Raw genomic sequence first — 27,787 nt, forward strand, 5'->3', positions numbered from 1 at the left:
CTGGGTGGCTGCAGCTGTGTCCGGGAGGGCAAGGTTCCCGCCCCTTCAACTGGGAAGGGGGTGTGGATCCCGTCTGTTCCCGGCTCCCCCGGCTCCATGGAGCGCACAGCCCTGGCTGCAGCTAGTGTCTTTTCAGCAGCCTTTCCAGATAGGCCACTGCTGCCATCACTATTACACAAGTTTTTTCCTCACAAGAGCTGCACAGACACCTCTGGCCACAAGGAAAGTTATCATACCCATTTTATATTTGGAGAAAAGACGACAGATGAAGAAATGGAAATAAATGCCTGATTTTACAGTAGATCTGGGAACAAAACACTGGTACCACTAATTTATTTCACTTCATTAGAGTAGTACTTTTTGTTGCTAGCGTACTCCTTAAAATAGTTTTGAAAAACAATGTGCCTTCTCACACATTTTTATGTTAACATCTGAAATTTTTCTCATAAGTTTAAATAGTAACAAAAGATATAAATATTGACACTTTTTAACAAAAACCTATGACATCACTCTTTTCAACATATACAATATAATCTAAATACCAGAACAGTTTTATATGCTCTATCTTAACTTTAAAAATATATGAACAACCTCTCTTCTAAGATTAGGAAAATTTACATTGTTCCTGTTTTCCCTTGACCTTGTATTTCCATTTAACTTTACCCACAAAATTTTTTCTTTATATTTGAAAGTTTTTTTAGAATTAATTATATTACCATACTTTTCTGTATCAAAAATATGCCTATGTTGAAATTAAAATGTATGTTTTCTTTATTGATAAAGCTGAGTGGTAAAATTTTCTTCTAGATTTTGTTATCACAGTTATTAATATACAATTAAATATAACAAATAAATGTATTATTAAATTTGATAATCAATAAAGATAACAAGTAAAATGTTACTAGAACTATATCTCTTAATGAGATGAATGGAGCTTTTTTCCTTTTTAAATTAGGTTATATGTCAATAGATATGTATTACTTATTGCTAGAATGTGACTGGATACTGTGGTAATTGACAGCAAAAAGCAATTATTGGCCATTTTTATATGTATGGCTTATAGAAGTTGTATTAATGACTATTTATAGTAGAATCCATCATCCAATTTTGTTCAGCTACTATGCCTCTAAATAAGTACACTATAGGATAGAATAAACTGATAAAAACCGATAAGAGCAAACAGAAAATGCACCCAAATGAAAAATGAATATAGATTTTCTATATCTAATTATCTTTATGGAATAGTTATTTACAGAATTTCCCTATGAGTCTGAATAAATGTACAAGAAAATATACAACACTAACTCACTTCTAATATATGTTCTGGATACTTGAAAATGTAATGTTGACCAGCAGGAATAACTGGGGGAATTTGTATTCCTTTTTTCTTGAAATCACTTAGCAGAGACACAAACCAGTGTTTTGATCAAGGCAGCTTCCCTGTAGGCACTGACACCCCAGGCCAAGACCCCATAGCAGGATTCCTGATGGGTGAGAGGTTTGCCTTTACTTTAAGAAGTTGGGTCAAGGTGACTGGGAATGAGGAACTGGGAAGAGATGGAGCACTATGCCTTGCCCAAGTTCTCAGACAGCTCAGATTTAAGCCTATGGAAGTTGAGGCTCTGCAAAGTGAGTCCCTTAAAACCATCCAAGATTACATACCCTTTTGAAAGCTCCCACACAAATTCCAGTTTGAAGACCATAGTGGAGACTTCTGAGGCCCACCACTATGTATTTCAAGTTTACTTAAATTTTTTAGAAAGCCCAGCGACACAAAGCCTGCCTAGGAGGTTCATCAGGCTGTTCTGTGAGAGACTGTTCACAGAAGCTTGAGTTGTTATGTGACAACTGCCCGCCTCATGGGAATGCAACCTCACAGAATGGACAGTGAACAGCCGGTGGGACACAGGCAAAGAACACATGATGGGAGATGAGTGCTCTTCCACCTTTGAGTGAAAGTTTATGTCCATAAGGAAAAAAATGAAAATTGTTACATGTGAACTGCCTCCCAAGAAAGTAGTATAATAAGAATCAAAATGTAATGGAAACATTCAAACAAGGTCATACTCATCTTAATGTTAAATTTTGTTTTAAGATACTTTGAAGGGCTAGAGTTCAAATAAGCATTCTTTTTAGTGATCTAGAAATGAAATAAATAAAACTATCATGCTGTTTTCCTAAGGTATTTAGTAAACATACAGGTCACAATCTGGAGTATCATAATTGTGATTAATAATTCTTAGGGAACCAGAGAACATTTCATTAGATTATAATGATTTTTATCCTCCTTTGAAAAATTGCCACAGATTTATAAAGGATTTATATGTTTTTCAGAAACTTCAATCCATTAGCAAAAATGAACAAAGTTGATGTCCTGCCTTTGAGATTTTGAAAATGTTATCAAGATGGATGTGTAGAAGGCATACTCATTAATAATGTGAAGGCAAAACTATGTCAGAAATAGGGTTTTGATTTTTTTAAGTGTTTACTTGGACTACACATTCACCTTCATATTTCTCAACCTACACCATTTCTATATACTTGGCTAAAATACTTGTTACTGAAATATCTGATTAAGTTGGCCTAATTTTCTTTTTTTTCTTTTTTTGAGACAGTCTTGCTCTGTTGCCCAGGCTGGAGTGCAGTGGCGTAATCTTGACTCACTACCTCCTGGGTTCAAGCGATTCTCCTGCCTCACCTCCCGAATAGCTGGGATTACAGGCACGTGCCACCACACCTGGCTCATTTTTGTATTTGTAGTAGAGATGGAGTTTCACCATGTTGGTCAGGTTGGTCTCAAACTCCTGACCTCAGGGGATCCGCCTGCCTCAGCCTCCCAAAGTGCTGAGATTACAGGGGTGAGCCACTGTGCCAGGCCTAAGTTGGCCTAATTTTCTGGCTTAATAAATAATTTATTTTCTTATTGCTAAAATTAATATATATGTATTTGTTCAAATATTCTGTTTTTCAGATTTACTTCTACCTGTGATATTGCTAAATGGAATTTTATTCACATTCAGCAGTTGAATAAATCTAAAATACAGAGGTAAAAATAGACATTGAAAAACTGTGATTCTGAGCCTCAGATCACTAAAATGATATTTTCATGTTGCTAAGAAACAGTTTCTATTTAATTGGAACAAAACTTCATCAATGTTTTCTGTTTCTCTCAGTTCTGTGAAGTAATCCCTTACAGTCCAATAAAATTAAAACCTGAGTGTGGATTGGAGTACTCGTATTTATTTAGAGATGTAGAGATTCCTACCTGGGGTAAACAGCCTCCAAGATGGCACCCAGTGATCTGCACTTCCTGTTATTCACAGCCTGTGGAGTCCCTCCTACATTGTACCAGGGTTGGCCAATGGAATATGGCAGAAATGATGGTATCTCACATCCAAGACTACATTATCAAAGAACTGCTTACGGCTTTTCTCTCATTGCTCACTCTAGGGGAAACCATGTTGTGAGAGACCCATGTATGGCTGAACTAAACCTGTGTGCATGTGAGTGAAGCAGAGCCTCAAGCTCCAGATGGATCTTGAGATGGCTGCAGCCTGGCTTGACTGAAACCTCATGGATGACCTCGAGCCAGAACAACCGGGCTAAACTGCTTCCAGATTCCTGACCCTCAGAAACAGTGAAATAATAAACGCTTGTTGTTTTAAACTGCTAAATGTTGGGGTAATTGGTTGTGTAATAACAGATAAACTAATAAACTACCTTTAGTTACTACGCTTCCTATTAAACCTGTTACTTAAACTATATCCTTGGCTAAAATACTTGTTACTAAAATACCTGATTAAGTTGGACTAATTTTCTTTTTTTGAGACAGAGTCTTGCTCTGTTGCCCAGGCTGGAGTGCAGTGGCGTAATGTCGGCTCACTGCCTCCTGGGTTCAAGCGATTCTCCTGCCTCACCTCCCGAATAAATTGTTCTTTATTCCAAGCCTATTAGTATTTTGAAGTAGAACATTGCTTTGCCATTAAGGAAATATGCCCTAAATTGGTAGTTCTTGATGGTGGTGTTTCCACTCTCCTCCTACCCAAGGACAACCTAGAGCTATGTGAGGGGCTTTTTTTGGTTGTCAAAATGATTAATGGAGCTCACTGGCCTCTAGTAGGTGGGAGCTAAGGGTGTTAGACATCCGGTAATGTGTAAGACACTTCATTTTAAGATAGCAAAGGAAACATTACAAAACATTTGTTTTATAAAAAGGGTGTTATTCCAATAGAGCTGAGAGCTACCAGATTGAAGAGAGGAATGTCCTGCTTTTCCTGGGGAAGGGTAAATGAAATCTGCTGATCTTTTTTTGAGATGATTCATAATGGAAAAGTAGAAGAAACCAGGAATTTGTCACATGGAATGTAATTTGCTGAAAAATTTGAATATAAGAATGTAAAATTTGTAATCATAAAAATTCCATTTGAAATGGTATTTTCTAAAAAGAGAAATCAGCCTTTAGTTTTAGGTAACAGGTTAGTTTGAGACAGGTAAAATTCCACACTCATGGAAGGAAATAATGAAGCTAGTGAAATGAAGAGATGTTCTCACTGCCCTTTAGCATCCTAAACTGGGGAAATCCAAAATTATGAAAGGAAGGCAAAGTAAAAAACTTCCATAAAAAATGAAACCATATTTTGTTACAATTTTCATTTTCATGTAGATATAAAAATATGCATGTTATTGAAATGATCAGAGATTGATTAGATGTGGCTCACAAAAATTGAGATCTGTAAGATATATTTTAGAAAAAGTTAGTTCTTTTAATATAGCATTCAGAGTAATTTGTCTTTGATGTTAAATACACTTTAAATCAAATGTGATGTAGTATATTGTAGGCTTATAGAATTTGTTTTAGCAAACAGAATATGTTGAGTGAGTTTGTATTTTCTGGAGTGATTCCGTTTGGGGTGATAAGGCAAGGTCTCATGGGGAAGGCCCTAGGAAAGGGTAGGGGATGTTCTGGGCCAAAATACAATAGACCATAAGCATCATCTTCTTGTAAGGCAATATAATAGAGGATTGAAAAAGTCAGGAAGCCAGAGTCCCTGTCTTTATTTATCTTTTTATGTGTTTACTTATTATTTTTGTGAAGTATATGTTTATATATTTTAAAAATCACCTTTCTAAATGTACAGTTCTATGAGTTTGGACAAAAGCATAAAGTTGTACAACTACCACTACATTCAAGATATTGAACAGTTCCATCACCCCCAAAATTGGTTTTTTTTAGTCAAAACCTCTACCCCAGTTCTTAGCAAGCTCTGATCTATTTACTGTCTTTATAATCTGGCCTTTTCTAGAAGGTACTAAAAATTAGATCATTATATAGCTCCTCTAGTCTTTTTCCTCTTATTTAGCATAATACATTAGAGATTTATCCACGTTGCTGCATGTGACAGCAGTTCATGCTTTTACTGCTGAGTAGTACTCCATTGCATAGATGTACTACACTTTATCCATTCACCAGCTGAAAGACAATTGGGTTGTTTCCAGCATTTGGAGGTTATGAATAGTCACTATAAATAGTCGTGTACAGGTTTTTGGTTGAAAATAGGTTTTTATTTCTCTTTGGTAAATGGTTAAGAGAGGATAGCTAGATCATACTGTATGTTTAGCTTTATTAAAAAAAACTTACCAACTATATTCTGAAGTGGCTGTATTATTTCATATTTTCATTAGCAATGTATGATGGTTCCAGTGCTCCACATCCTGGTCATCATGTGGTTCAGCTGGTCTTTTTAAGTTTAAACATTCTGTTAGGTATGTAGTGATGTCTCAGTGGGTTTTTATTTGGTGTCATACATAAGAAATCTTTGTTTATCTTTGTTCCCATCTTGCTTTATTTCCAGTTTCCAATATATGTTTATTTCCAGTTTCCAATATATGTTTATTTCCAATATATGTTTCCAATATATGTTTATTTCCAGTTTCCAATATATGTTTATTTCCAGTTTCCAATATATGTTTTCTTACAGTTTTCATCTCTCTGCTGAAATTCCATATTGGTTCATGCACATTGTCTGCCTTCTCCATTTAGAGCCTTTAACATATTACTAATGGTTATTTCAAATGGCTTGTGTGATAGTTCCAGCATCTGAATCATCTCTGAGTTTTGTTCTGTTGATCACTTCATCTCAGGACAGTGGGTTACTTTACCTATCTTATTGTCTTATTATTTTTGACTGAATACCAGACATTGTTTGCAGGACAGCAGAGGCTGAAACAAACAATATATATGATTGGAAATGAGCATGTCTCTTCTTCTGCTAGGCTATTTGTATAGGGGTTGAGTTTATCTAGTTAGCAGTTGAGCAGGTTTTGTTGCTGCTTGGGTGTCAAAGAGCTTTTCTCTCTCTCTCTCTCTCTCTTTTTTTTTTTTTTTTGAGACAGAGTCTTGCTTTGTCCCCCAGGCTGGTGTGCAGTGGTACAATCTCAGCTCACTGCAACCTCTGCCTCCTGGATTCAAGTGATTCTCATGCCTCAGCCTCCCCGATAGCTGGGATTACAGGCATGCGCCACCAAACTGGGCTAATTTTTGTATTTTTAGTAGAGGCGAGGTTTCACCGTGTTGGCCAGGCTAGTCTTGAATTCCCGACTTCAAGTAATCCGCCCACCTCGGCCTCCCAAAGTTCTGGGTTTACAGGCGTGAGCTACTGCACCTGGCTGAGATTTTCTCAATGTTGCTGCTCTACCCCCAGCTTTCAGCCTTTCCTGTGTTGTAGCACCACAAAAGGGATCTATCTTCCCAAGGAATGGACTGCTATTGCTTGTTACCCAGTATTGCAAGCTCAGTTGTTTTGTTCCTGTGTGATCCTACTTCTCCTTTTCAAGGCAGCCAAACTGCCTTGCATCTTTGGCAAATCTTCTATGGGACTTCCCTGTACCTGCCCAGTAGTAGGAGACTTCTATTAGTAATGGTGTAGGATCCTGAGCCCAGGACTGTTCCTTGCTCTTCCAATAATGACAAGGTTTTGTTTTGTTTTGTTTTGTTTTCTCTTTCTCTAGCTGTAATGGGTTTTCATCTAGTCTTGGAGATATGAAGTTTCTGGTTCTTCCCCCAAGGCTAGAGGCTTTTGTTCCTTGAGAAAGCATCTAAGGAGGGCTTTGTGACTTTCCTTCAGCAACTGCACTCCCCTCCTCCAGGCCTGCACCACCAAGGAAGACTCCCTCTGGTCCCCCACCCTCACCCAGTCTTTCTCATGAGCACCAAATGGAAATCTGTGAAGACGATCTTGTAAGTGTGAACTGCTTCTCTGTCTGTGGCTCCCAGACAAACCTGTACTGTCACACTAGTTCACAGTCAGACTTCTGCAATTTGTTAGAAATTTTAGCAAATCCTTCCTACTTGTTTGATGGCAACCGGCATCTCTTCTTCCTGTGTTCTGCCGAAGGTGAGACAGAGCTTGTACCCTGTATTCTTAGAGACGCCTTGGATTTCAAGCTACCTAGTTGCCCTATGGCCTTAACTATCTGATGGGTTCAAGAAAAATTATGAGTTTGTATTTTATCTGTAGTTTTTCTTATTTCTAGGGTGGAAAAGGTGTTTTTGTTTGCTTTCTACATCCTAGGTAGAAGTAGAACTCCCATTGTATCTTTTTGTTGTTGTTTTGAGACACAGTCTCATTCTGTTGGCCAGGCTGGAGTGCAGTGGCATGATCTCAGCTCACTGCAACCTCCATCTCTCAGGTTCAAGCAATTCTGCCTCACTCTCCCAGGTAGCTGGGATTACAGGCATGTGCCACCAGGCCTGGCTAATTTTTATATTTTTAGCAGAGACGGGGTTTCACCATGTTGGCCAGGCTGGTCTCGAACTCCTGACCTCAGGTAATCTGCCCACCTCAGCCTCCCAAAGTGCTGGGATTATAGGTGTCAGCCACCGTGCCTGGCCCCCATTGTATCTTTAAAGTTATTCTAGAGATTAAAATTTTGCAGATTTTTCCCAGTAATGCATGGAAGGGTTAATAATTTTCACTATCCAAAATTTCATCTTCACATTTGGCTGAGTCATAGACCAGCTAGGAAAAGGCCAGGCAATATTGTGTCTGGCATATTGCTATGTGCACCCAAGTGCTATCATCATTTTCTTGTCCTACAAGAAGGCTTGGAGTTTCCCAGAACAGCCTCTCTTTGTGGGCAGAGGTGGCTGGCTGGCCACCAAACATTTATGCTCTCTTCTATAGTAGAATGCCATTGGGAACAGTTGGCTCTTCCATGAACTACACTTTATAGCTTGCCTTACCGTTAGCTACTGCCATGTAACTGTGTTCTAGCAAATATAAAATTGCAGAATTGATGTGAGCCACTTTCAGGCTTCCCCTGTAAAAGCCACTCACGTGGCATTCCTCCATGCTCCTTCCCTTACCACCAGGTGGATGCAAATGCCCACAGTGATGTGGGAAGTCAGGTGTTTAAGAAGACAGAGCCTCTATTGGTCCTAATCCCTAATGACTGTGCAGAATGGAACTCATACACTCCCATCCCCCAAGCCTGGAGTCAACTTGGATTATTTCATGAGCAAGACATCAACTTTGTGTTCCAGCTCTTAGAGATATTGAGGTCAATTGTCCTGGCAAATGGCCAACCCTAACTAATCTTATCCTTTCCTTCCCTAGTCAAATCACCTGGTCAACCTGCTCTGATATGAGATTTTACCAAGCTTGCCAGTTATCTGTAGGTCATTCACAAGAAACAGACTTCTACAGCCTCACCATTCATGTGTAGATGAAGTCGAGAAGCTAAAAACTAGATGAGATTCAGAAAAATATATTTTCCAAGGGTGATAAAGATTTCATCTGATGTATTGACTCCAAATTATTATTAGTGGCTGCTTGTAGTGCTGTGTTGGGAAATTGTCTGAGGCAGTGTCCAGGCTAATAGAAAAGAACACTGTGATTAATTGGCAATAACTATCATGGCAGGTGAGGTAGGGGTGATGGCATGGGTTCAAAGAACTTCGTCATCCCTGGGACTTAAGCCAAGCTCTTGGATGCATTCAGTAGGCTGTTCCTAGAAATAGTACCCAGATTTGTAAATCTCAAGTAAGAGGCACTTACCATTAAGGCAATATCCTTACCATGGCTGTTACTTATATAAGTTGGTATGATTTATTGGCAGCCTTAATCGGCTAAGTTATAAATGAAATTTAGACATCCCTCTGCCTAGATTCTGCTTGTTTAGTTTAGAAATCAGGTATTTTCAGGACTCAAAATTTCTAGTAAAACATTTTTGAAGGCACACATACTGCTTCCATCTGAGCAGTGGCAAAGCAGATGATTTTAATTGTTGGGATTGTGATCTAGTGTCTTGAAGTCTATTCTGATGAACCGATGAACTCCTTACTAGCTTATAGACTGGTCTGGCAAATAGAAAGAAACAAAGAATAGGAAACAGTCCTGATATAGATAAACTTTTGGTGGTTAAAAAGCAGACAGACCCCTTCTTTCTGCTGTGGGAATTAGAGTTTACTTACAGTGGCTCTCAAGTGCCTGGATTTCTTAAGCTACATGTTCTTAGTTATTATACTATTCTTTTGATGACAAAGGATGAAGTTCAGATACACACACCTAAGTCCAAATCACACTGCATCCAAACAAAATCTTAGCTTAATCTTTTTCACAAACACATTAGAGATTTTTTATTTTCACAGGACATGGGAAAGAGTAATATATTTTGAACACAAAATAAAATGGAGAAGTTAGCCAAGAAGTTCATGTAATTTCTAATCTTGAGGAAACAGACACATCCAAATTGAAGGATATTCTGTAAAATGACTGTTCCAGAGTCTTTTAAAAATGTCAATGTCATGAAAGAATTTTTAAAAATGGTTGAGGGATTGTTTTAGATCAAAAAAAACTAAAGAGGCACAACAACTAAATGCAATGCTCAATCCTCCATTGAGTCCTGGATAACACAAGCCAAAGAGATAGTTTTAAATCTTTTGGAGAAATTTGAATATAAACTTTATATCAGTGTTAAATGTCTTGAGTGTGAAAATCATAGAAGAGTTTCCTTCTACAATTTTAGATAGGTGTTGTAGTACTTAGAGCATGGTATCAAAATGTCTGCACTTACTCTCAAAGGATGAGCATTACACTTAAAGAGATGTGGCAACTGTGGTCACTGTTGGAGAATCTAGATGAAGGCTATACAAGCATTTATTGTTCTGGCCTTACAACTTTCCTGTAGGTTTAAACATTTTCACATTGAAAAGCTGGGAAGAAAAGTTTTTCTACTTGATGGTATATCCTAAGAATTTCCTGTAATATTATATTATATCCTAACCACTCATAATGACTACTTTTAATAACACCATGGTATTCTTTTGAGGGAATATGTATTCTCTTTAATGATTCCACAATTTAGATTCCTAATAAATAATACTTCAATGTGCATCTCTGTATGTATTTTGTAGATTCTAATCTTGGCATAAATTTCCACAGGTAGGTTGCTGGATCAAATGGCCATTTATGGAGAATTTGAAACATTCTGCTGTGATCTATTTTTTTTTAAGCTGGTAAGTGAGATGGCAGGATCTTAATAAAAGTGAGTCATTTCAAACAGTTATATTTCTGTGAGCCTGAATATTTTTAGATTGCTGACACCCCTTTTTCCTCACTCATCTGCCAACCTCCCCAATAGCCGTGGGACCTTGGTTCTGTCTTTGCTGCCATTGATTCCTATAGATGAGATTTTTCAGACTCAGATACTGGGCACCAAGAGGCCAATGAGAGTAGGAGGAAGTTGTTAAGCTTTTCAATATTTCATCAAACAAAATTCATACATTTCTCACACTGAAGCTCACATAAGTGAGTTTAGACATGGAGTCTGGCTCTGGTTCAGCTTTGATAGGTAGGGCTGTAACCTCAGACAGCAGCTCAAATGCAACCTGAGACCCTGAGCCAGAACCACCCCATGAAGCTGCACCCAGGTTCCTGACCTGCAGAGACTGTGTGAGAGAATGAATGTTTGTTGTTTTTAGCTGTCAAGCTTTAGAGTACTTTTTTAATGCGCGATAGATAACCAATACAGATTCTGGAAGTGAGATGTGGCCATAACAAAACATAAAATGTGAATAAAAGACTTGAATACCTACTTCATAAAAGGAGATATGTGAATAATAGGCATATAAAAAGGAGTGCATTAGTCAGCAGAAAAATGCATATTGAAAGCACAATGCAATGCCACTACACACCTACCAGAAAGGCTCCAAGTGTTGGTGAGGATGCAGAATACCTGGAACTCATATATTGCTGACGGGAGTATAAAATGGTGTAAACGAATACAGTTAACCTAAACCTAAGCCAGTTGACCCAGAAAATACACTGCTAGGTTTATACCAAGAGAAATGATTGCATGCAACCAAAATAAGAGGAACACATAAATGTTCCTAGCGGCTTCATTTATTATAGGCCTAAACTGCAAATAACTCAAATATTCAGCAGAAGAATGGATAAATAATTTGTGATATATCCAGGCAATGGAATACTACTCAGCAATAATAATAATTGAAGTATACATACAGCAACCTGGATGAACCTCACAAGCACTATTTTGAGCAAAAGCATGCTATGTAGTTTCATTTATATGCCATTAAGGAACAGGTTAAAACAAATTTATGATGATAAAAGAGAGAGTACTGGTTGCCTCAGGATTGGTAAGTTGTATTGACTGGAAGGTAGCAGGAGTGAACTCTCTGGGGTGATGGAAATGTTCAACATTTGATCTGGATAGTGATCACGTGGTTTTATGTATCTAAAAAATTCACAAAATAGTCACCCATTTTGTTCATTTTACTACTATATAAATTACATGTCAAGAAGATAATGTCGAAAAGATCCAAAGGCCTTTCTGGCCCTAGAGAACATGTCTTTGGCCCCTCCTCTGACTTCTCCTCTGAGCACTCTTCCCCTTATTCACTCCCCAAACACCCTGGTCACCTTCCTGCTCCTCCAACACACCAAGCATACTGCCACCTCGGGGCCTTTGCACTGGCTCCTCCCTTGTCAGCACTCCCTGTCCTCAAATATCCCTGCAGATATCATCCTTCGCTTTATTCAGGTCTACCTATCATTGTCACAGTTCTCTAGAGACAGAGCCCTGGGCAAAGGTTAAGTCTTAGAGGGTTACTTGGGAGGTACAATCCCACACAGCTGGCTGCTCGATATGTTAGTTTCTAGAGCAGCTGTAATAACACACCACACACTGTTGTCACTCAGAACAACAGAAATGTGTTGTGTCACAGTTCTGGATGCTAGAAGTCTGAAGTAAAGGTATGGTGAGGCCATGCTCCCTCTGAAACCTGTAGGGGAGGCTCCTTCCCTGCCTCTTCTAGCCTTGGTGTTTGCAGCTCTCTGTGGCGTTGCCTAGCATTTAGATAAATTGCTCCAATCTCTGCCTCCATTGTCACCTCACCATCTTCCCCTGATGTGTCTCTGTCTTTCTCCTTCTAAGGACAAGAGATTGGATTAGGCCCCTACCCCCTTAATGACTTCATCTTAACTTGATTGCATCAGCAAAGACCCTGTTTCCAAATACTATAAAGCCACATTCACAGTTACTGGGGGTTAGGACTTCGACATATCTTTCTGAGGAACATAGTTCAACCCATAACACTCAGTCGGCGCACAGGCTTGGCCACACACAGCAGGCTGTGTGGAGAAATTGTGCACCAGACGGGGCAGGGGGAAAGGGTGAGGCAGTTCAGCTGCCCAGTATCCTCCAATCTCCTGTTTCCTGTCTCCCACTGGTGCAAAGTCCATTCAGGGGGAATGAAATCCTCTTCCTTTCCGAGTTGCATCATTCAGCCCCATTGGCAGTTGCTCAGGAAACAAGGTCCTGCAGTTTGGCATTTCAGCTGAGTTTGGACGTGGGGAGAGAAGCCAGATATTCTAGGCCTGTGGCTGGTGAGCCTCAGGCGGGAAAACCACAGGGGCCTTTGGTGGCTGCAGGGAGCAAGTGGCCGAGGAAGGAACAGGTGGTGCTGAGACAGGCCCCAGGTTCTGCCCAAATGTCATCTGACCAGAGAGGCCTTCTCTGACTACTTCATACCAGATAGATGCTCCTTCCCTGTCTCTGCATTTCCTTGTTTTGCTTAATCATTCTTCGCATCAATTATTGCCAGTTGACATATTATATATTTATGTGTTTATTTGCAATGTCTCATTTTACTCACTACCACGGTGTTCCCTGCAAGTAGGAAATTTATCTGCTCGTCCTTTGCCCTTTCTTCAGTGCCTATCACAGTGCCTGGCACATTGTAGGTGCTCAGTAAATATTGAGTTTCAATAACTCGAGAAATCAATGGATATAAAGAAATGAAAAAGACTTGGTCTCTGCAGTCTGTTAGGGAGTAGCTGAGTGGGTGGCAGTGGGGTTCTCTTAGGTCCAGACAGGCCTGTCCTAAGCAGGTCAGGCCCCAGGTGCAGCTGCAAGCAGAGCTCCATTTCCAGGGTTTGAATTCTGCAGCTCCCTGAGGTGGCCAGGGGCTGCCAGGATCACAGCTGCAAAGCCTCTGGGTCATCAGGCAGAGGAAAGAGCAGACAGAGGGAACTCTTCTCATCTGGACTTGGAGGGTCGACCTTGCCCAGAGGGGAGGGTATTGCTTCCTGCAGAGCCACGGGTGGGGAGAAAGAATCCTGTCTTCCCAGGTTGACCTCTTCTAAGCTTCCTGAGTTATCTTCTATCTCTAGAACCAAACTAGTACTTTTAGTCCCAAAATGCCAATAAATATATCTTCTTTACTAGCTGTGGCACTATCATATTTTTAAGGTGAAAGTTAGTGTCACCTAAGCGAAAGAGCTCAGCTCCTTATTATTTATTGCCCAGTCAAGATTTAATGTGTCTCACTTTAAATGACAATTCTCCATTTTACTTCCTTCAAGTCAACATGCTCTTGGTTCAATATAATCAATATGATTTTTAGTCACATTCTCTCTTTCCTGTGCTATTTTCTCTGTGGAATTCACTATATAAAGTCATCCATTTATTGAAATATGTAGGAGACCATATTGGATTACTGATGAAAAGGAAATTGTAACAAACACTGGGTGACCATAATTCATTCAAAATTCGTTTGTGGTAATTTTCTCTATTAGTGTGAAAAATGAGTATAACACAGGTAGAGATTTTCCGAGTTGAATAATGTACTCTGTGTCTTTCGTACAATAATAAAAAGCAATGGCAGCTTGTTATTTCACCAAAATAAATATACTCCACCACTAGAAAATAAGCCTAAGACTAAAGCTGTGACATGGTGACATTTTCCTCACTGCAAATTATGTACCAAAGTTAATTACTGCAACTTTACCAACTGAGCTTGAGAAAGTGGCATATGTAACCCTCTCCCTTTGTTTTGGTGAGAAAGTGCAGGCTTCGTTTTGGTGAGGAAGACTGTGGCATAGGTGGAGTGCTGAACCCACTTTGGACCTGAGTGATTTGTGGATTGCTGACTTTCACCATTCTGGCTTTGTGAGGAATTGTCCCTTCTGGGAAGGGGGCGAGGTGGAGCGTTCAAGCTCTTTCCTAGCCTATTGCCTCCCAGGAGGCAGGGAGTTCGTATGTTACGGGAACTAACACTAATAACTACCATTTTCTTTATAGAGGTCAGTATGCTTCTCAACCAGATGCAATTACTTCCAGGACAAAAGATTTTTCTTTTCCCTTAAGACTTGCTTGCATTAATAACTAAGTCACAAATTTTAACTCTGAACGTTTTTTAAATTAAGAGAGTTCATTTTAACTTTGCCTCCTGACTGGATAATTTACCTTTCTGTAAAACGAGGAACTATAACTGCCCTTACCTATGAAGTTACCTGAAGAGCACAGGGAGTACAAAACAGAACTTTACCTTAGTCTTTTACAAAGCTGGAGATTGGAAGATAGTCACTAGACAAGTTCAAACCATTTTTTTTCTTGCGCTTATATTTAGTTGTTTGCCTTAATTCTAGTGCCCTGAAGTTGGATATATCTAAAGTACAGTTAAAACTAAATAGCTAATTCCTTTCTAATTTAATTTACTTTTACATGCCATAATGATAGAAATACAAAACCAAAACAAAAGAAAAACTCTGCTTCTAAAAGTCACAAAGAAATGTAATAATACTGTCGATCCAAAAGAAAGGAACTGAGGCAGAGTTAATATAAGTAGGAGTTTATTTGGGCCGGGAGTTTGAAGATTGCAGCCCAGGAGCATAGATGCATGCTGCCCTGAATAGACCCTCTGATTAGTAGCAGTTACAGGTGGACTTTTATTTATCTTTTTTTTTTCTTTTCCTTTTTTCCTTTTTAAACAGGGTCTCACTTTGTCACCCAGGCTGCAGTGCAGTGGTGCAATCTCAGCTTACTGCAGCCTCAACCTCCCAGGTTCAAGTGATCTTCCCACCTTAGCCCCGCCAAGTAGCTGGGACTATAGGCGAGTGCCACCATGCCTGGCTGATTTTTGTATTTTTTGCAGACATGGGGTTTCGCCATGTTGCCCAGGCTGGTCTTGAACTCCTGGCCTCAAGCGACCCACCTGCCTTGGCCTCCCTAAGTGCTGGGATTACAGGAGTGAGCCACTGCAAAGGGCCTACAGGCAGACTTTTAAAGGTAAGAAAGGAAAACAGTGAGTGGGCTGATACAAAGTTGTTTGTCAGGAATTCTCATTGGTTTACAGACTTAACACTGATTAGTGATTGGCTATGCGTTGGTAAGCTATAGGGTGTGGGTTATAGTGTCTGGTGTGGCATTATTAGGTTAATTTATAGCTACTGTGACAATAGCTAAGCAGTTGCAGGAGATAAATACATAGCTCAGAGTGGGTAATAGGGCACAACTGTGATCTCATTTTAATGCCTCTCTGGGCCTAACAATTCGTAAGGGCTCACAATCCTCAGATGAAAGTTCTTTTCTTTCCTCAATACTTAATTTAGTACTGAAAATATTGAGGTCCTAAATGTGGGTCATTTGTGACTTTTGCTTTAGCAGTAAAGTCTAAAAAAAAGTGTTATCGTAAATAAAATTTTAGCCACTTTCCTGTCTCCCCTTATTATCGCTTTAAGATCTTAATCCAAATATATTCCCCTAAATGGACAAATCACAGTTTTAAAACAAACCACAACCTTTTTATTGTTACCCACAAATTGGGACTCTCCTGATCAGATATTTTTAATTACGCATTTCTTTTTTAGAAAGCTCAGGAGACTGTAAGAGCTGTACTTCCCTAATGAGTATGGTATTCCTCCCAAGTCCCAGGCGAATCACTTTGCGTAGAAAAGGCAATTGTCTTGGTTGAGTAGGAATTAATGTTGAAGGTGTGGAAGGAAGTTGACTTGATTCAGTTTTCACTAGCCCAAGTCACAGATGTTAAATTGCAAGTTTCACGTCAGGCACCAAAATAGAATAGCTATGAAATTCCAAAGTGAGATGCCAAGATGCAAACTTTCAATCAAAATACTAAAGACCAGTTTCATGGGTCTAAAACTTCTCACCTGAAGGGGGAAATAGTGCCTACGAAGGAGAAATTAAAGGAAGATTTTGTGAGGAGTTGTAATGGTTAATTTTATGTGTCACCTTGAGTGGACCAACGGGTCCCCAGATTAAACACTGTTTCTTTGTGTGTTTGTGAGGGTTTTTCTGGATGTGATCAGCATTTCAATCAGTGGACTCAGTAGATTGCCCTCCTCAAGGAGGCAGCATCCCATTAGTTGGGGGGCCTGAACAGAACAAAAAGAGAAATTTGCCCCTTTTTTCCTGCCTTACTGCTAGCATGGGGACATCTCGTCTTCTGCTCTTGGATTGGGATTTTTAGCAGCTTCCTTAGTTTTCAGGCTTTTGGATTCAGACTGAATTACACCGCTTTCTTGGGTTTCCATCTTGCAGATGGCATATGGTAGGACTTCTCAGCTTCCATAATTGTGGGAGCCAATTCCTCATAATAAGTCTCCTTTTATAGATACAGATATAGACATAGTTACAGATATATAATCCATTGGTTCTATTTCTCTGGAGAACCATGACTAAAACAGGAGTATTTTCTTGTTTTAGTCATGGAAAGTCTTGAAAAGTAATATTTCTCATACTATTTTTTCCTCTCCATGTGGGCCACTCAGAGAACCTGTAAGTTGGGAGCATAGGGGATTGTTGTCTGACTCCAGCCCTGGAAACCTACAGATCAGGAGAGAGGGATTGGTGAGCCTCTTTGGCGAGTGAAGAGGCTGCACGGTTGGTAGGATTGGTCTGCACTCTGAGTTTATTAGAGCAAAATAGGTGTTGAGTGTCCCTATGGACCAAATGTGGGACACACAGAAGAGAACGATCCTGGAGCCCCTTTAAATCCTGCTCAAGAAGACAGCTGGGGTGTGGGTGGAAGATAAATTGGGAGTCCTACGGAGGGAGGAAATTTGGAGGGGGACTCAGGAAATCCAGTGACACTTGCTTATGTGGGGGGCCCAGCAGCAGGGGCACCTAAGAAAAAATGAAGGCACCCACAAGATAAAGAGCAGGTTTGACATTAGCCAGGTTTGGAAAAGACAATGCCATCTTACAACTGTCCCAGTAAAGTAAGAACTTTCTTGCCCCTTCTTTTCTCTCTTCCCTTCCCTACTCTGATTCTGGAAGGGTCAAAACCAGCAGCTTTCATGGTGGTCTGGGATGAGGAAGGAAAGGAGAAGCTGACCACGTCTTCTCTCCTAAAGGCTGAGACCTGCCTGTGACCAGCTGTAGGTTGGGGAGGAGGGCAGAGTTCTTTTCTTTGAAATGAAGATTGAAATATGTAGTGATATATTGGTTTGGGCATTCTAATAGAAAGAATCTGGTACTTTCTATTACCTATAAGTGACCAAACAAGCTATATCCAGTGGCAGGGGTAGAATTGCCTTCACTGAGCAAGTTTAAAAGGACAGTGAGATAAAACATTAAAATTGCTTTTATGATTTCACCGAAGGAATACTGCGTCTTCATTGAATTGGTTATATCACCAGCAGGAGTGATAGATGTGTTTTTATAACCTACCTTCCAATGAGGTACCTAAAACATGGTGAATCAGATTTTTCCCCATATACGGATATGAGTGAATGCCCAATCTATGATAGAATTTCCTGGAGAATTTCTATGGGTTTCTCAGGAGACCCATCCCTCATATCCTTTATAGCCAAAACTTGCAATTTATAGATGTCGAAGCCCTTTAGCATAAGTGATCTCGACAGCTTATCACCACCAGGTCCCTGTGAAATGCAGAGAGCACCTAGTATTATTTGCACTATATGGAGAATAATAGCTAAGAGTTATTGAACACTCACTATGTGCTTGGCACTTATGCTAAATATCTTACAAATACCAAATTCATGTATAATACTATTAATTTCTCCACTCTACAGATGATGAAACGGAGTCTTAGGCTAAGTAGTTAATTTAAGGCCAAACATTTAGTAGAAGATATGGCTGCAATTTGAACTTGGCTGCCTGCCTTCAAATTCCTAACTTTGAACCTCTGCTCAGATGAACAAAATGGAAATCAGACATTTTAGCAACTCATTCGAGGATCTACATAGCATTAACAGATATTGGTCTTGTCTCATCCTTGTCTCATGGAGATCTTCAGTAGAGATCTTAGTTCTCTAGTAGAGAAAGAATTCACTAAACTATAGGAAGGAGATTAAACAGATAATACCTTTTCCAAGTGAAAAAACAAGTCTCAAAAGATAGTGTAAGTAAATTATAACTGTACACTAGAATATTTGGTGGCCAGGAAAAAATGTTTAAGGATTTTTTAAGGAAAGTAAAGCATTTTTCCATTCCAATAGAAAAAGTAGCCTATAAACTATTAATGCTTTCAAGTCTGTTTGAATACATGTATCTATACACATACATATATGCACACATATACATACACATAGCTAGTTATATGTATGTGTTTGTGGGTACATGTATGATCATATCACTTCTAATTTTTAATTTTTTTTTAATTTTTGTAGAGATGGGGGGGGTCTCACTATGTTGCCCTGGCTGGTCTTGAACTCCTGGCCTCAAGCAATCCTCCTGCCTTGTCCTCCGAAATTGTTGGGACTACAGATGTGAGCCACTGTGCTTGGCCTTGATTGTATCTTTTCATAATAGAAAAGTTTAGAATTAAATGCACTAAAATATTAACAGTATTACCTCTATGTTATGGAATTATGGGTAATTTTTACTTTTTCTCCTATATTTTTCTCTGTTTCCCCCCAAAAGATCAATCATATTATTTTTCCTCTCCATATAGGTTTATTAATATTTTATTTACTTAACATTTTTATTGAGATAATTTGCATACTGTAAAATTCACTCATTTTAACTATACCATTTGATGATTGTTATTAAATTTATAGAGTTGTGTATCCATCACCACAGTTCAATTTTAGATCATTTCTAGAAGATTTCTCAGGCCCATCTGCAGTCATCCCTTATTCCCACCTCCCAGCCTTAGGCAATCCCTAATCTATTTTCCATCTCTATAGATTCGCTTTTTCTGGAAGTTTCACATAAATAGGATCATACAACATATGCTCTTTTGGGACTGACATATATTGTGTTCTTTTAAAGAGAGGGAAATGAATAAATATTCTTTGGTTCTTTGCCTTTCCCATCCAATCCAAGCAAAAGCCTGTTTTCTTCCTCTTAATACTATAATAACTAATTATCAACAGAGTTTCCTTTACTCCTGTAGTTCTTGACCAGCAATCAAATCCCTTTCAGATCACAAGATAATCTATAGGACAGTAAAGCTATTCCTGATGTTTTAAGGATCTCTGTTTTTTAATTCCTCACACATTTCTCTATTTTTACATTAAAAAACTGATTTATAACTATTTTGTTCTTACCCTCTGGACAGTCATTGTAGACATGCCCTATACTCCCATTCTATTGGCAGAAACAGGGACACCATCACTGATGTGGAAGGGTTTGGAATCAGACAGACCCAAATTCCACTCCGGGGCCCCATCTCCTGTAGCTGGGTTATGGACCCTTCCTGAGTTCAGTGTCTTAGTGAGTATCTTGGAGTTACTTGTACCTACCTCCAGGGCTGGATGAAGACATGAGCATGCTCTGGACAAGCTAGTGATTGTTGGTTCTCCTTCGAAAGGATGTTCTTTAAATAAGTCTTCAACTTCTCTTTAGAGAAGAGGCAGGGCCCCCACACAGCAAAACAAAGGCCTTGCAGTTCATCAGAGCTACACTCCTTAAAATGCACTGTGGACTCCTCGAGGGTCTCACTCTCACTCCCAGCAGCTCATCAGTGTCTTCCTTCCAATCCAATTAACACTCTCCCTGAAAGTACTGATACATATCATTTTCAATATTTCACTACATTTTCAAGGATATTTATTGCTGTTTGTGGAGTAGTGTCTTTCTGGCTCTGCCTCATAGAGTGTTCTGAAGATTAAATGGGATCACACATGTAAGGAGTACTGCACAGGGTCTAACACTCAGTGGATGTTCAATAAATGGCGACTATTATTAGTATCATAACCAAAGCTATGGCAACTCTGAGCCTCTGTGTGATGACAGGTGATGTGCAGCTCCTTTCTCCTCTAGCTCCTTACCTGGAAACCTTCTTTGCAGAAAGGCATTTTCAGAAAGCTTTTGGTGACCTTGAAACATTCTCAGGTGCTCTCTGATGTCTTTATAAATGAAACTTAATATATATAGGAGATACAGTTCCTCCTTCATACCTGTATAGTAAAAAAGCCACAACATAAATACCTTTGGTTAATCTTTCTATAGTATATTATTTTAAATATTAGCATAAACATGATAGAAATTAACAGAATGAAGGTTAACTGGGGGAAAAGCCCTGAGCAGGGAGGGAGGAGTTGCTGTGGGAACACTGTGGCAGGTCTGAAACTAGATCCTGGCTATCCAGCAGAGGGAAATGGCACATATTTGGAGGCTTTTATATCATGGTAATAATTGTTTTATTAGGATCAAAGCATCCCAGAAAGCACTTGCTCTTTCCTTCTCTCCAGTCCCCCTGACTCTCCCCTGAGCAGGGTTGGATAGGAGGTTTGGTGGGGGGAGGAGGCAGGGAACAGTAGAAGAAAGCAATGCTATGTCCCTTTCCCCCATTGTCTGGCCCCAAATGTAGTGCCATAAATATCAAAACAGTGCTTGGTAATAGTCCAAAACATTTAACTTGTCCGCAAATTCCTAAACAACCATTGGCGTGTAATTTGGTTCTTGGCAGAGTGTAACTGAATAACTTGTAGACATGACATTTGTGTGAACATCTACAAGAGACAGGCCGTTATCACCACCCATTCAACACTCCAGCCAGAGGAAGAACAGCAAGGGGGCCAGCCATACAAGTTCACCTGCGCGTCCGGGGTCTCGGTTCTGCTGTGGCCCGGCTACTCCCCATTCTCAACTGTGTTTTCTTCACCATGCAGGTGATGGAAGCCCAGGCAGGCCCAGGGTTCAAGGCCAGTGACTTCAGCCTGTCACCCCCTCAGACCACATCGGGCCCACCGGCCTCCTCCCTCCCTGCCCCTCAGCCCTGCCCGCACTGCCCCCCATTGCGCCCAGCCCTTCCTCACCCCGCAGGAGAAGCTGGCCTCTCATTCCTCACTGAGAGACTCGACGGGCGTCCCCACGCCAAGCCTTCCTCGCCCTCCCCTCCAGCCTTTTCTGAAGGGGAGACAGCAAAGGTGAGCAAGCAACCGCCGGCAAGTTTCGACAGCTGCTGAGGAAGACTCATGGGTTTCTAAGGAAACAGAGAGGCAGCAGCCATTTTAGTAGCATTTGCTGTATGAAAAATATATAGACACTGGCAGCCCTCTCCCCACTCTGCCTTGGCGCCTGCCCTCCCGCCCCGCCTCAGAGGCCCCGGGGTGAGGGTGGGGCCCCAGTCTCCGAGGGACGCAGCGGACACCTGTCGCAGGTGGCCGGCCACCGGGGTCGCCACCCCCAGTGTCCCCCAGCAGCGGGACCGCGGGGTCCCCACCCCGGGGCGGAATCCCCACCCACGGGCGCCGCAGTGCAGCGGCGGGCGGGCGGGCGACTCGGCCCTCCCCGCACCCGCGTCCCGCCCCCCGGGTCCCCTCCCTCTCCCCACCGCCCCAGGCCGCGGGAGCCCGCGGGGAGGGCGGGCCTGTCGCAGCCGCGCTGGTCGCCAGGCGTCCGGGAGGAGCGGGGTCCGCGCGGCGGACGAGGCGGGGGCGGAGGCGCAGGCAGAGCGAGCGCGGGAGGTCGCCGCAGCCAGGGACACCGCGCGCCGCCGCTCAACATGGTCGCTGCGCACGCTGCCCATTCTTCCTCCTCTGCCGAGTGGATCGCCTGCCTGGATAAAAGGTAGCTCGCCGGGGGCCGCAGCCGGGGGCCGAGCTCTGCGGTGCTGCCCGGGCCCTGAGACCGCCGCAGCTCCGCACCTGGGCGCAGCGCGGCCGGGCTGCGGGTGGCCGGGGTCCCCGAGCGGGGGAAGGGGTTGAGGTCCTCGTCCGGGAGACAGGAGGACAAGGATCCCCGCCTCTCGTGGGGTGCCAGCGGCATGAGATTATTACACGTGGTGGAGAAAATGCAGCGCAGTAAGGGGAGAGAGCACCCACCTCTCCAACCCCCTGCCCTGCCGCGACTCCAGGCTCCGCTCCTGGGTGGGGGTTTATTTTCTCTTGGCATCACGGGACAGAAGAATCGATGCATACCCTTTCCGGCTATTCAGACCTTGCGGGGTATGAAGTTTTAAAGAGGGGTGGGGGCACCGGCAGGTGCAGAGTAACATTCTTTTTTTGTTCTTGAAAGCAAAGTGTGAGGGACCCGGTGGAGCTGTCGAATCCCTTGCTGAAATTCACAGCTCTCTGCCCCCGCAGTCGCTCGCTCAAGGTCTGTGTTAGAGAAGGTCATTTGGGAGGCTGCTTTCGTCTTAATACCTGCTTCTCGGGAAAAGATCTTTACGCTAAAAATAATTAAAACCATAAAGCATGTAACTCCCGACGACAGCTCTCTCTAAGGAGGATGTGTGTGTTAACAGTGGATTGCAGTTGTTTCCAGGCTGTGACAGCATAATTTTCTGTTTGTCCAGATTGCAGGTTTAAACGTTACACAGTATGTTAGCAATTATAGCTTATTACCCTGATTAAAAGGTGATGCATCTGAACTTTTAAGAACTGAGCAAGAAATCTTGCAGAGTGAACTGCCTCTGAATTTCGGAGTTTGATGCAGAAGGGCAATGATGCACGTCTTGCAGCTATCTGCATGACATCTCTATTTGCATTTGTGTGAAATATTTTGTGCTCTGCCATATTGAAAAATTTTCAATTAACAGATTCGTAACCAGATCAAACTTGAAAATCTTAAGTGTGACGTGCTTTGCATACTCTATTATAGGCCTTTGTTGAAAAATATTAAGTAATTTGAGAAAAGCTAAATGTAGCTCATTTGAAAAGCTTAATATATCTGAGAAATAATCTTGACTTTCAATTACCACTCAGTAGCAAGATTTTTTGGCAGGTAGTGCCCTATTTATGTCTAAAATGATATGTACTAATATTAAAAGAGTTGCATGCAATAAATAGTAAGAGAATTAAAGTAATAGTTAAATCACACAGGATTATGTAGAAGAACTAAGAGTATTTAAAGTATAGAGGTTGTTAATGTGATAAGTATCTACATTTAATAGTTCAGGAAAAAGGAATTATATGGGATTCAGGATCTTGCACTTAACCTATAAATAGTAGTGCTTCCTTATGAGCAAAATTTTTAGATAATAACATATTTCTATGTGTAGAAATGCATGGCATGGCATTTTTTGAACAGTCGGTAATTCACTGGAAACCCGTTAGTCAATAAGAAGTACTTATGGCAAAATCATAGAGCAATACTAACACAAGTGGGACATATTCGACTCTCTCTTTTCATAATGTGTATCTGCCTAAATGATTTTGCTTGAAATGGATTTTTTAGAGCATGGTGCCCCCATTTAATGCCACCATTCATAATGGGAAAAAAATCTAGGAAAAAAAAAAAAACCCTTCACAGATACTGAGCCTAGCATCAGAAGAGTCAGATGAGTGGATAGATCAATAAGTTAAGGGTTTTAGGCACAGAGCTGTTACCAGTTCTGATATTGGACATGTCACTTTTACTTCCTTGAGTGTCTGAAAAATGAGGATAGGACTATCAGGGATAAGTGGACAAATGGAAGGAGAAAAAAAAGGTGAAATAGTTTGAAAACTGTGAGTGCCATGTAGGCTTTTTGTTTTGTGGTATTAAAAGAACTTTGCATGTTCTGCAGTGTTCATGCCAGAATTAATTCCAATGAGGAACAGTTTAGGGCAGCAATCTCATTGTATGAAGGCCATGGGGGGACTTGTTTTGAAGTTGTGTTTTTACTTAGATTGTTTATTTATTTATTTTTTTTAGGAAAGGAGAAAGGTTGAGAGTGTTTATGGAAGTTGGCTAGGGAAGCCCCCTGAAACACCTGTTTAGTGGAGACACTGCCCTCAATGTTTCTGAGAAATGCTGTCTTGATCCTCTTTTCCAGGCACTGTGAAATGCTATCTTGATCCTCTTTTAAATGCTATCTTGATCTTCTTTTCCAGGCACTGTGCTGGGCACTGGGGATGCAACAAAATATGAGAGTTGCTTGTAGGCTTAGAGGGTAGGGGAGATTGGTGGTGGGACGGCTCTATAAACAGCTAACCACAATGCAATAGTAAGTGCTTTAATGGAGATGTATAAAGTGCTTTGGGAATGCAGATGAGAGAGTTATCGAGATACTTCCATAGGTGTCCTGCCTAGAACTCAGAGGCTGAGAACAATTTTACCAGGCACAGAATAGGGAGGGCATGCCAGGGAGTGGTGTGGCATATGAATATGCTAATTTCTTCCCAACCACAAATTCCTCTTGTGACCAAATCTAGAGTATAGGAATGTATGCTCTATTTTTATAAAATCTTTTTTATTATGGACATTTTCAACCCTGCACAAAAGAGAAAGTACAATGAACCCATGTGGGTTCACTTGGGAATATGATGCTGGGACCTTTCAACTGGGAAAAGGACGTAACTGGGAAACACAGTTCAAATATATGCCTCATTCAAGTGACAACTGTTGTGGATGGTGAAAAAAAGAGAAACCCTGGGACTGGAAATAAAAAGAGAGTTAAAAGAGAAAGTCTGCAGTAGTAAAGAAGTATACAATGAAATTTGAAGTGAAACAAAACACAAGGAAAATAGAGCCTTAAAGTGTTTGTTAGGAATGCCTAGAAAGCTATCATAGACAGGACAATATTTGCAAGTGGGGAAGGGTGTTGCAAGTGTTGTAGATATGTAGATTAGATTAAAGAAACAAAATCTATAGCTTTTTATGTATCAATCATCCACCATCTTGGACTATGGTGGGACTGAGGAGATGAGGGTCTACAAATACTAATCTTAAAACCAGAAAGACAGGACATTGAACATTTGGATGGATAAACCAACATTGAAAAAAGTCTCAGCAGATGTATTGTTAGAGTAAAACAAGCTCACCACTATCTCAGGGATCTTACCATTTTTTTCTGAGGGGATGGCAACTAGGAACAAATTACATAGTTCCCACTATTTGGGACTTAAGATAGGTAAAATGTCCTTTCTTTTTTTTTTTTAAGTGTGCTGACCATTGTTTAAGTTTTTTTGTTTTTGTTTTTGTTTTTTGAGATGGAGTCTCACTCTGTCACCCAGGCTGGAGTGCAACGGTGTGATCTTGACTCACTGCAACCTCCCCCTCCTGGTTTCAAGTAATTCTCGTGTCTCAGCCTCCCGAGTAGCTGGGATTACAGGCACACACCACCATGCCTGCCTAATTTTTGTATTTTTATAGAGACAGGGTTTCACCATGTTGGCCAGGCTGGTCTTGGACTCCTGACCTCAGCTGATCCGCTCGCCTTGGCCTCCCAAAGTGCTGGGAATACAGGTGTGAGCCACCACACCCGGCCCATTGTTTAATTTTAATGAAAATATTTTTCCCGTAAGATTTTAAATTTGCCAACTGTGAACTTCAGATCCACTTATAAGTCCTAGTTCTCAGGGTTGGTAAAGGAGTATTATGAAGGGACAGGGACCATACACATTCATGTAGTATAGCGACTCATTGCTGGCATTCATCATGATGGGACAGGCATTGACAAGCTATGGCCTGTGGGCCAGATCTGACAGCTTGCCCGTATGTCTCGTGGGCTAAGAATGGTTTTCACATTCCTGAATGGTTGGAAATAAATCAAAAGAAGATCAGTATTTTGTGACCCATGAAATTTAGATGAAATTCAAATTTCAGTGTCTATAAACAAAGTTTTATTGGAACATAGCCATGCTCATTTGGTTACATATTGTCTACAGCTGCTTTCCCGCTGCAGTGGCAGAGTTGAGTAGCTGCAATGGAGACTGTGGGCCCACAGAGCCTGAAATATTTACTATGTGGACCTTTACAGAAAAAGTTTGCCATCTTTTGTTATAGATGAAAGAACCTATCTAAGTGATTGACAGTGAAACCACTGGAGATGAAAGAAATCGTTTTCATTTGGAAAGGAGTTCACAGTGTTTGGTTTCTTGTTCTTTAATTAGAAGTATAGGTTGGAGAAAGGTTCTCAGTTGATTGGCTTATTTGAGGAACACTGGCCGTCACAGCCAAAGCAGATGATGAAGTTAACATGGTTATTCAAAAGGTTGTGATCTTTCAAAGGCAGCAGATGAATTTTTTTTAAGTATTCGTGTTTCAGTTTAAAAATACTCCATGGACAGTTTCCATCTGACTTGCCCCCAAATAGATGTTATTTTAGCTATTTTGATTAGGTTGAATTCGAGTGAAAGAAATCAAGAAACAAATTTGTTAAGAACCAAAATGCTTTGTAGCACACATGGTGAGAGAAGATAACTCAGATATCAAAGAAGCATCAGACATGGGTCCACCCTTGAGAAATGCAGAGGATCAAAGAAGCACACAGAGCAGAAAGGGGTCCCTGGAGGAGGCTAGTATCTACTAGCCATGTCCCAAGGGATGACATTACCCCGGTACATCCTCCAGGGCTCAGGCTGGTCTTGCAATCTCAGAATACTGACTTGTTAGCACATCAAAAATTAATGTATCTTTCAGCAACAGATACACAGGTACCAGACTCTCAGAGACTCTAAAAGCCAGAAAGACAGTTTATTAATTTGACAATAAGATCTGTCACATCAGAGAAGTGGACACTCACGTCCTTTGGCTAATGTATTCTTCCTCTAAGTAAGCCATATGGGAAATCCAATTATTCTCAGAAGTCCGTTTTCTGCATTTACAATGAGAAGCCAAGCTGCCAGGAGGTCAGGATGCTTACATCTTCTGGCCTGTACAGGAGTACATCCTCTTCCTAGAGCAACAGAGCCTGGGAATTGGATGATAATGAGAAGGCAGTTCTGGGAATCGTCCAGGACAGCGTGGCTGCCACCTTTTCCAGTCAGATCACCATTACCTGTGCTCTCACAGCACACTTTGGTCCCACTCTGTAATAACATAGCACAAGTCCGATTCCATTGTAATGGCCTGCTTACTTCTCTTTTCACATCACTTGACTTTAGTCCCTATATTTTATTCATCATTTTATCTTCAGCTTCAGTGCAGTGCCCTGACTAGAGAAGGTGCTAATGGGCCCAGGGCAAGATGGCCACAGGCATCCTTCTCCTCAGGGATGGTGGCCTCTGTAACCCAAAAAGGCCCTTGCACTGGGCCCTTTGCTGGGGAAGGGCGTGGGTGACACCATCCACATCTGCCTCTGTTGCTTCTTCTATGTTTTTTGGCTAATGTGAATACTTTTTTAAAAATG

General features: G+C 41.0%; 2 protein-coding genes and 1 long non-coding RNA gene across 24 annotated transcripts in view, besides 2 other annotated features; 2 read left to right on the forward strand and 1 right to left on the reverse strand.

Moving 5' to 3' along the window:
- PDK1 (pyruvate dehydrogenase kinase 1) overlaps positions 1-10,566 on the forward strand; it is a 168,940-nt gene extending 158,374 nt beyond the window's left edge. For 2 of the 3 annotated variants that reach the window (XR_007076395.1, XR_007076402.1), the window contains one exon: positions 10,443-10,566. The gene's annotated coding sequence lies outside the window, so the exon portion shown is untranslated. Of the gene's footprint in view, positions 1-3,450; positions 3,675-10,442 lie in introns of those variants that run through there. The other variant, XR_007076394.1, reaches the window with a different exon arrangement.
- RAPGEF4-AS1 (RAPGEF4 antisense RNA 1) lies at positions 9,443-22,460 on the reverse strand. Its single transcript, NR_026995.1, has 4 exons — positions 22,380-22,460; positions 21,549-21,715; positions 20,559-20,687; positions 9,443-13,687 (listed from the first exon to the last, which is right to left on the reverse strand). It is a non-coding gene; the product is annotated as an RAPGEF4 antisense RNA 1 (long non-coding RNA).
- Positions 12,292-12,792: an enhancer, noted in NCBI's record as "H3K27ac hESC enhancer chr2:173590766-173591266 (GRCh37/hg19 assembly coordinates)". NCBI's record gives its function as "activates a minimal SCP1, AML or CMV promoter by ChIP-STARR-seq in primed H9 embryonic stem cells {active_cell/tissue: H9 hESC(primed)}" and the evidence as "EXISTENCE:reporter gene assay evidence [ECO:0000049][PMID:30033119]".
- Positions 12,793-13,293: an enhancer, noted in NCBI's record as "H3K27ac hESC enhancer chr2:173591267-173591767 (GRCh37/hg19 assembly coordinates)". NCBI's record gives its function as "activates a minimal SCP1, AML or CMV promoter by ChIP-STARR-seq in primed H9 embryonic stem cells {active_cell/tissue: H9 hESC(primed)}" and the evidence as "EXISTENCE:reporter gene assay evidence [ECO:0000049][PMID:30033119]".
- The window catches only part of RAPGEF4 (Rap guanine nucleotide exchange factor 4), a 317,576-nt gene continuing 311,360 nt past the window's right edge, over positions 21,572-27,787 (forward strand). For 17 of the 20 annotated variants that reach the window (NR_164739.1, NR_164740.1, NR_164741.1 and 14 more), the window contains exon 1: positions 22,099-22,302. Coding sequence is in view for 15 of the 20 variants with exons in the window: in NM_007023.4 (NP_008954.2) it covers positions 22,238-22,302 (65 nt within the window). In the remaining 5 variants the exon portion in view is untranslated. Of the gene's footprint in view, positions 21,660-22,098; positions 22,680-27,787 lie in introns of those variants that run through there. The other 3 variants (XM_047443030.1, XM_006712205.4, NM_001375864.1) reach the window with 2 other exon arrangements.

This window comes from Homo sapiens, chromosome 2 (assembly GCF_000001405.40).
Source record: "Homo sapiens chromosome 2, GRCh38.p14 Primary Assembly".
NCBI lineage: Eukaryota > Metazoa > Chordata > Mammalia > Primates > Hominidae > Homo > Homo sapiens.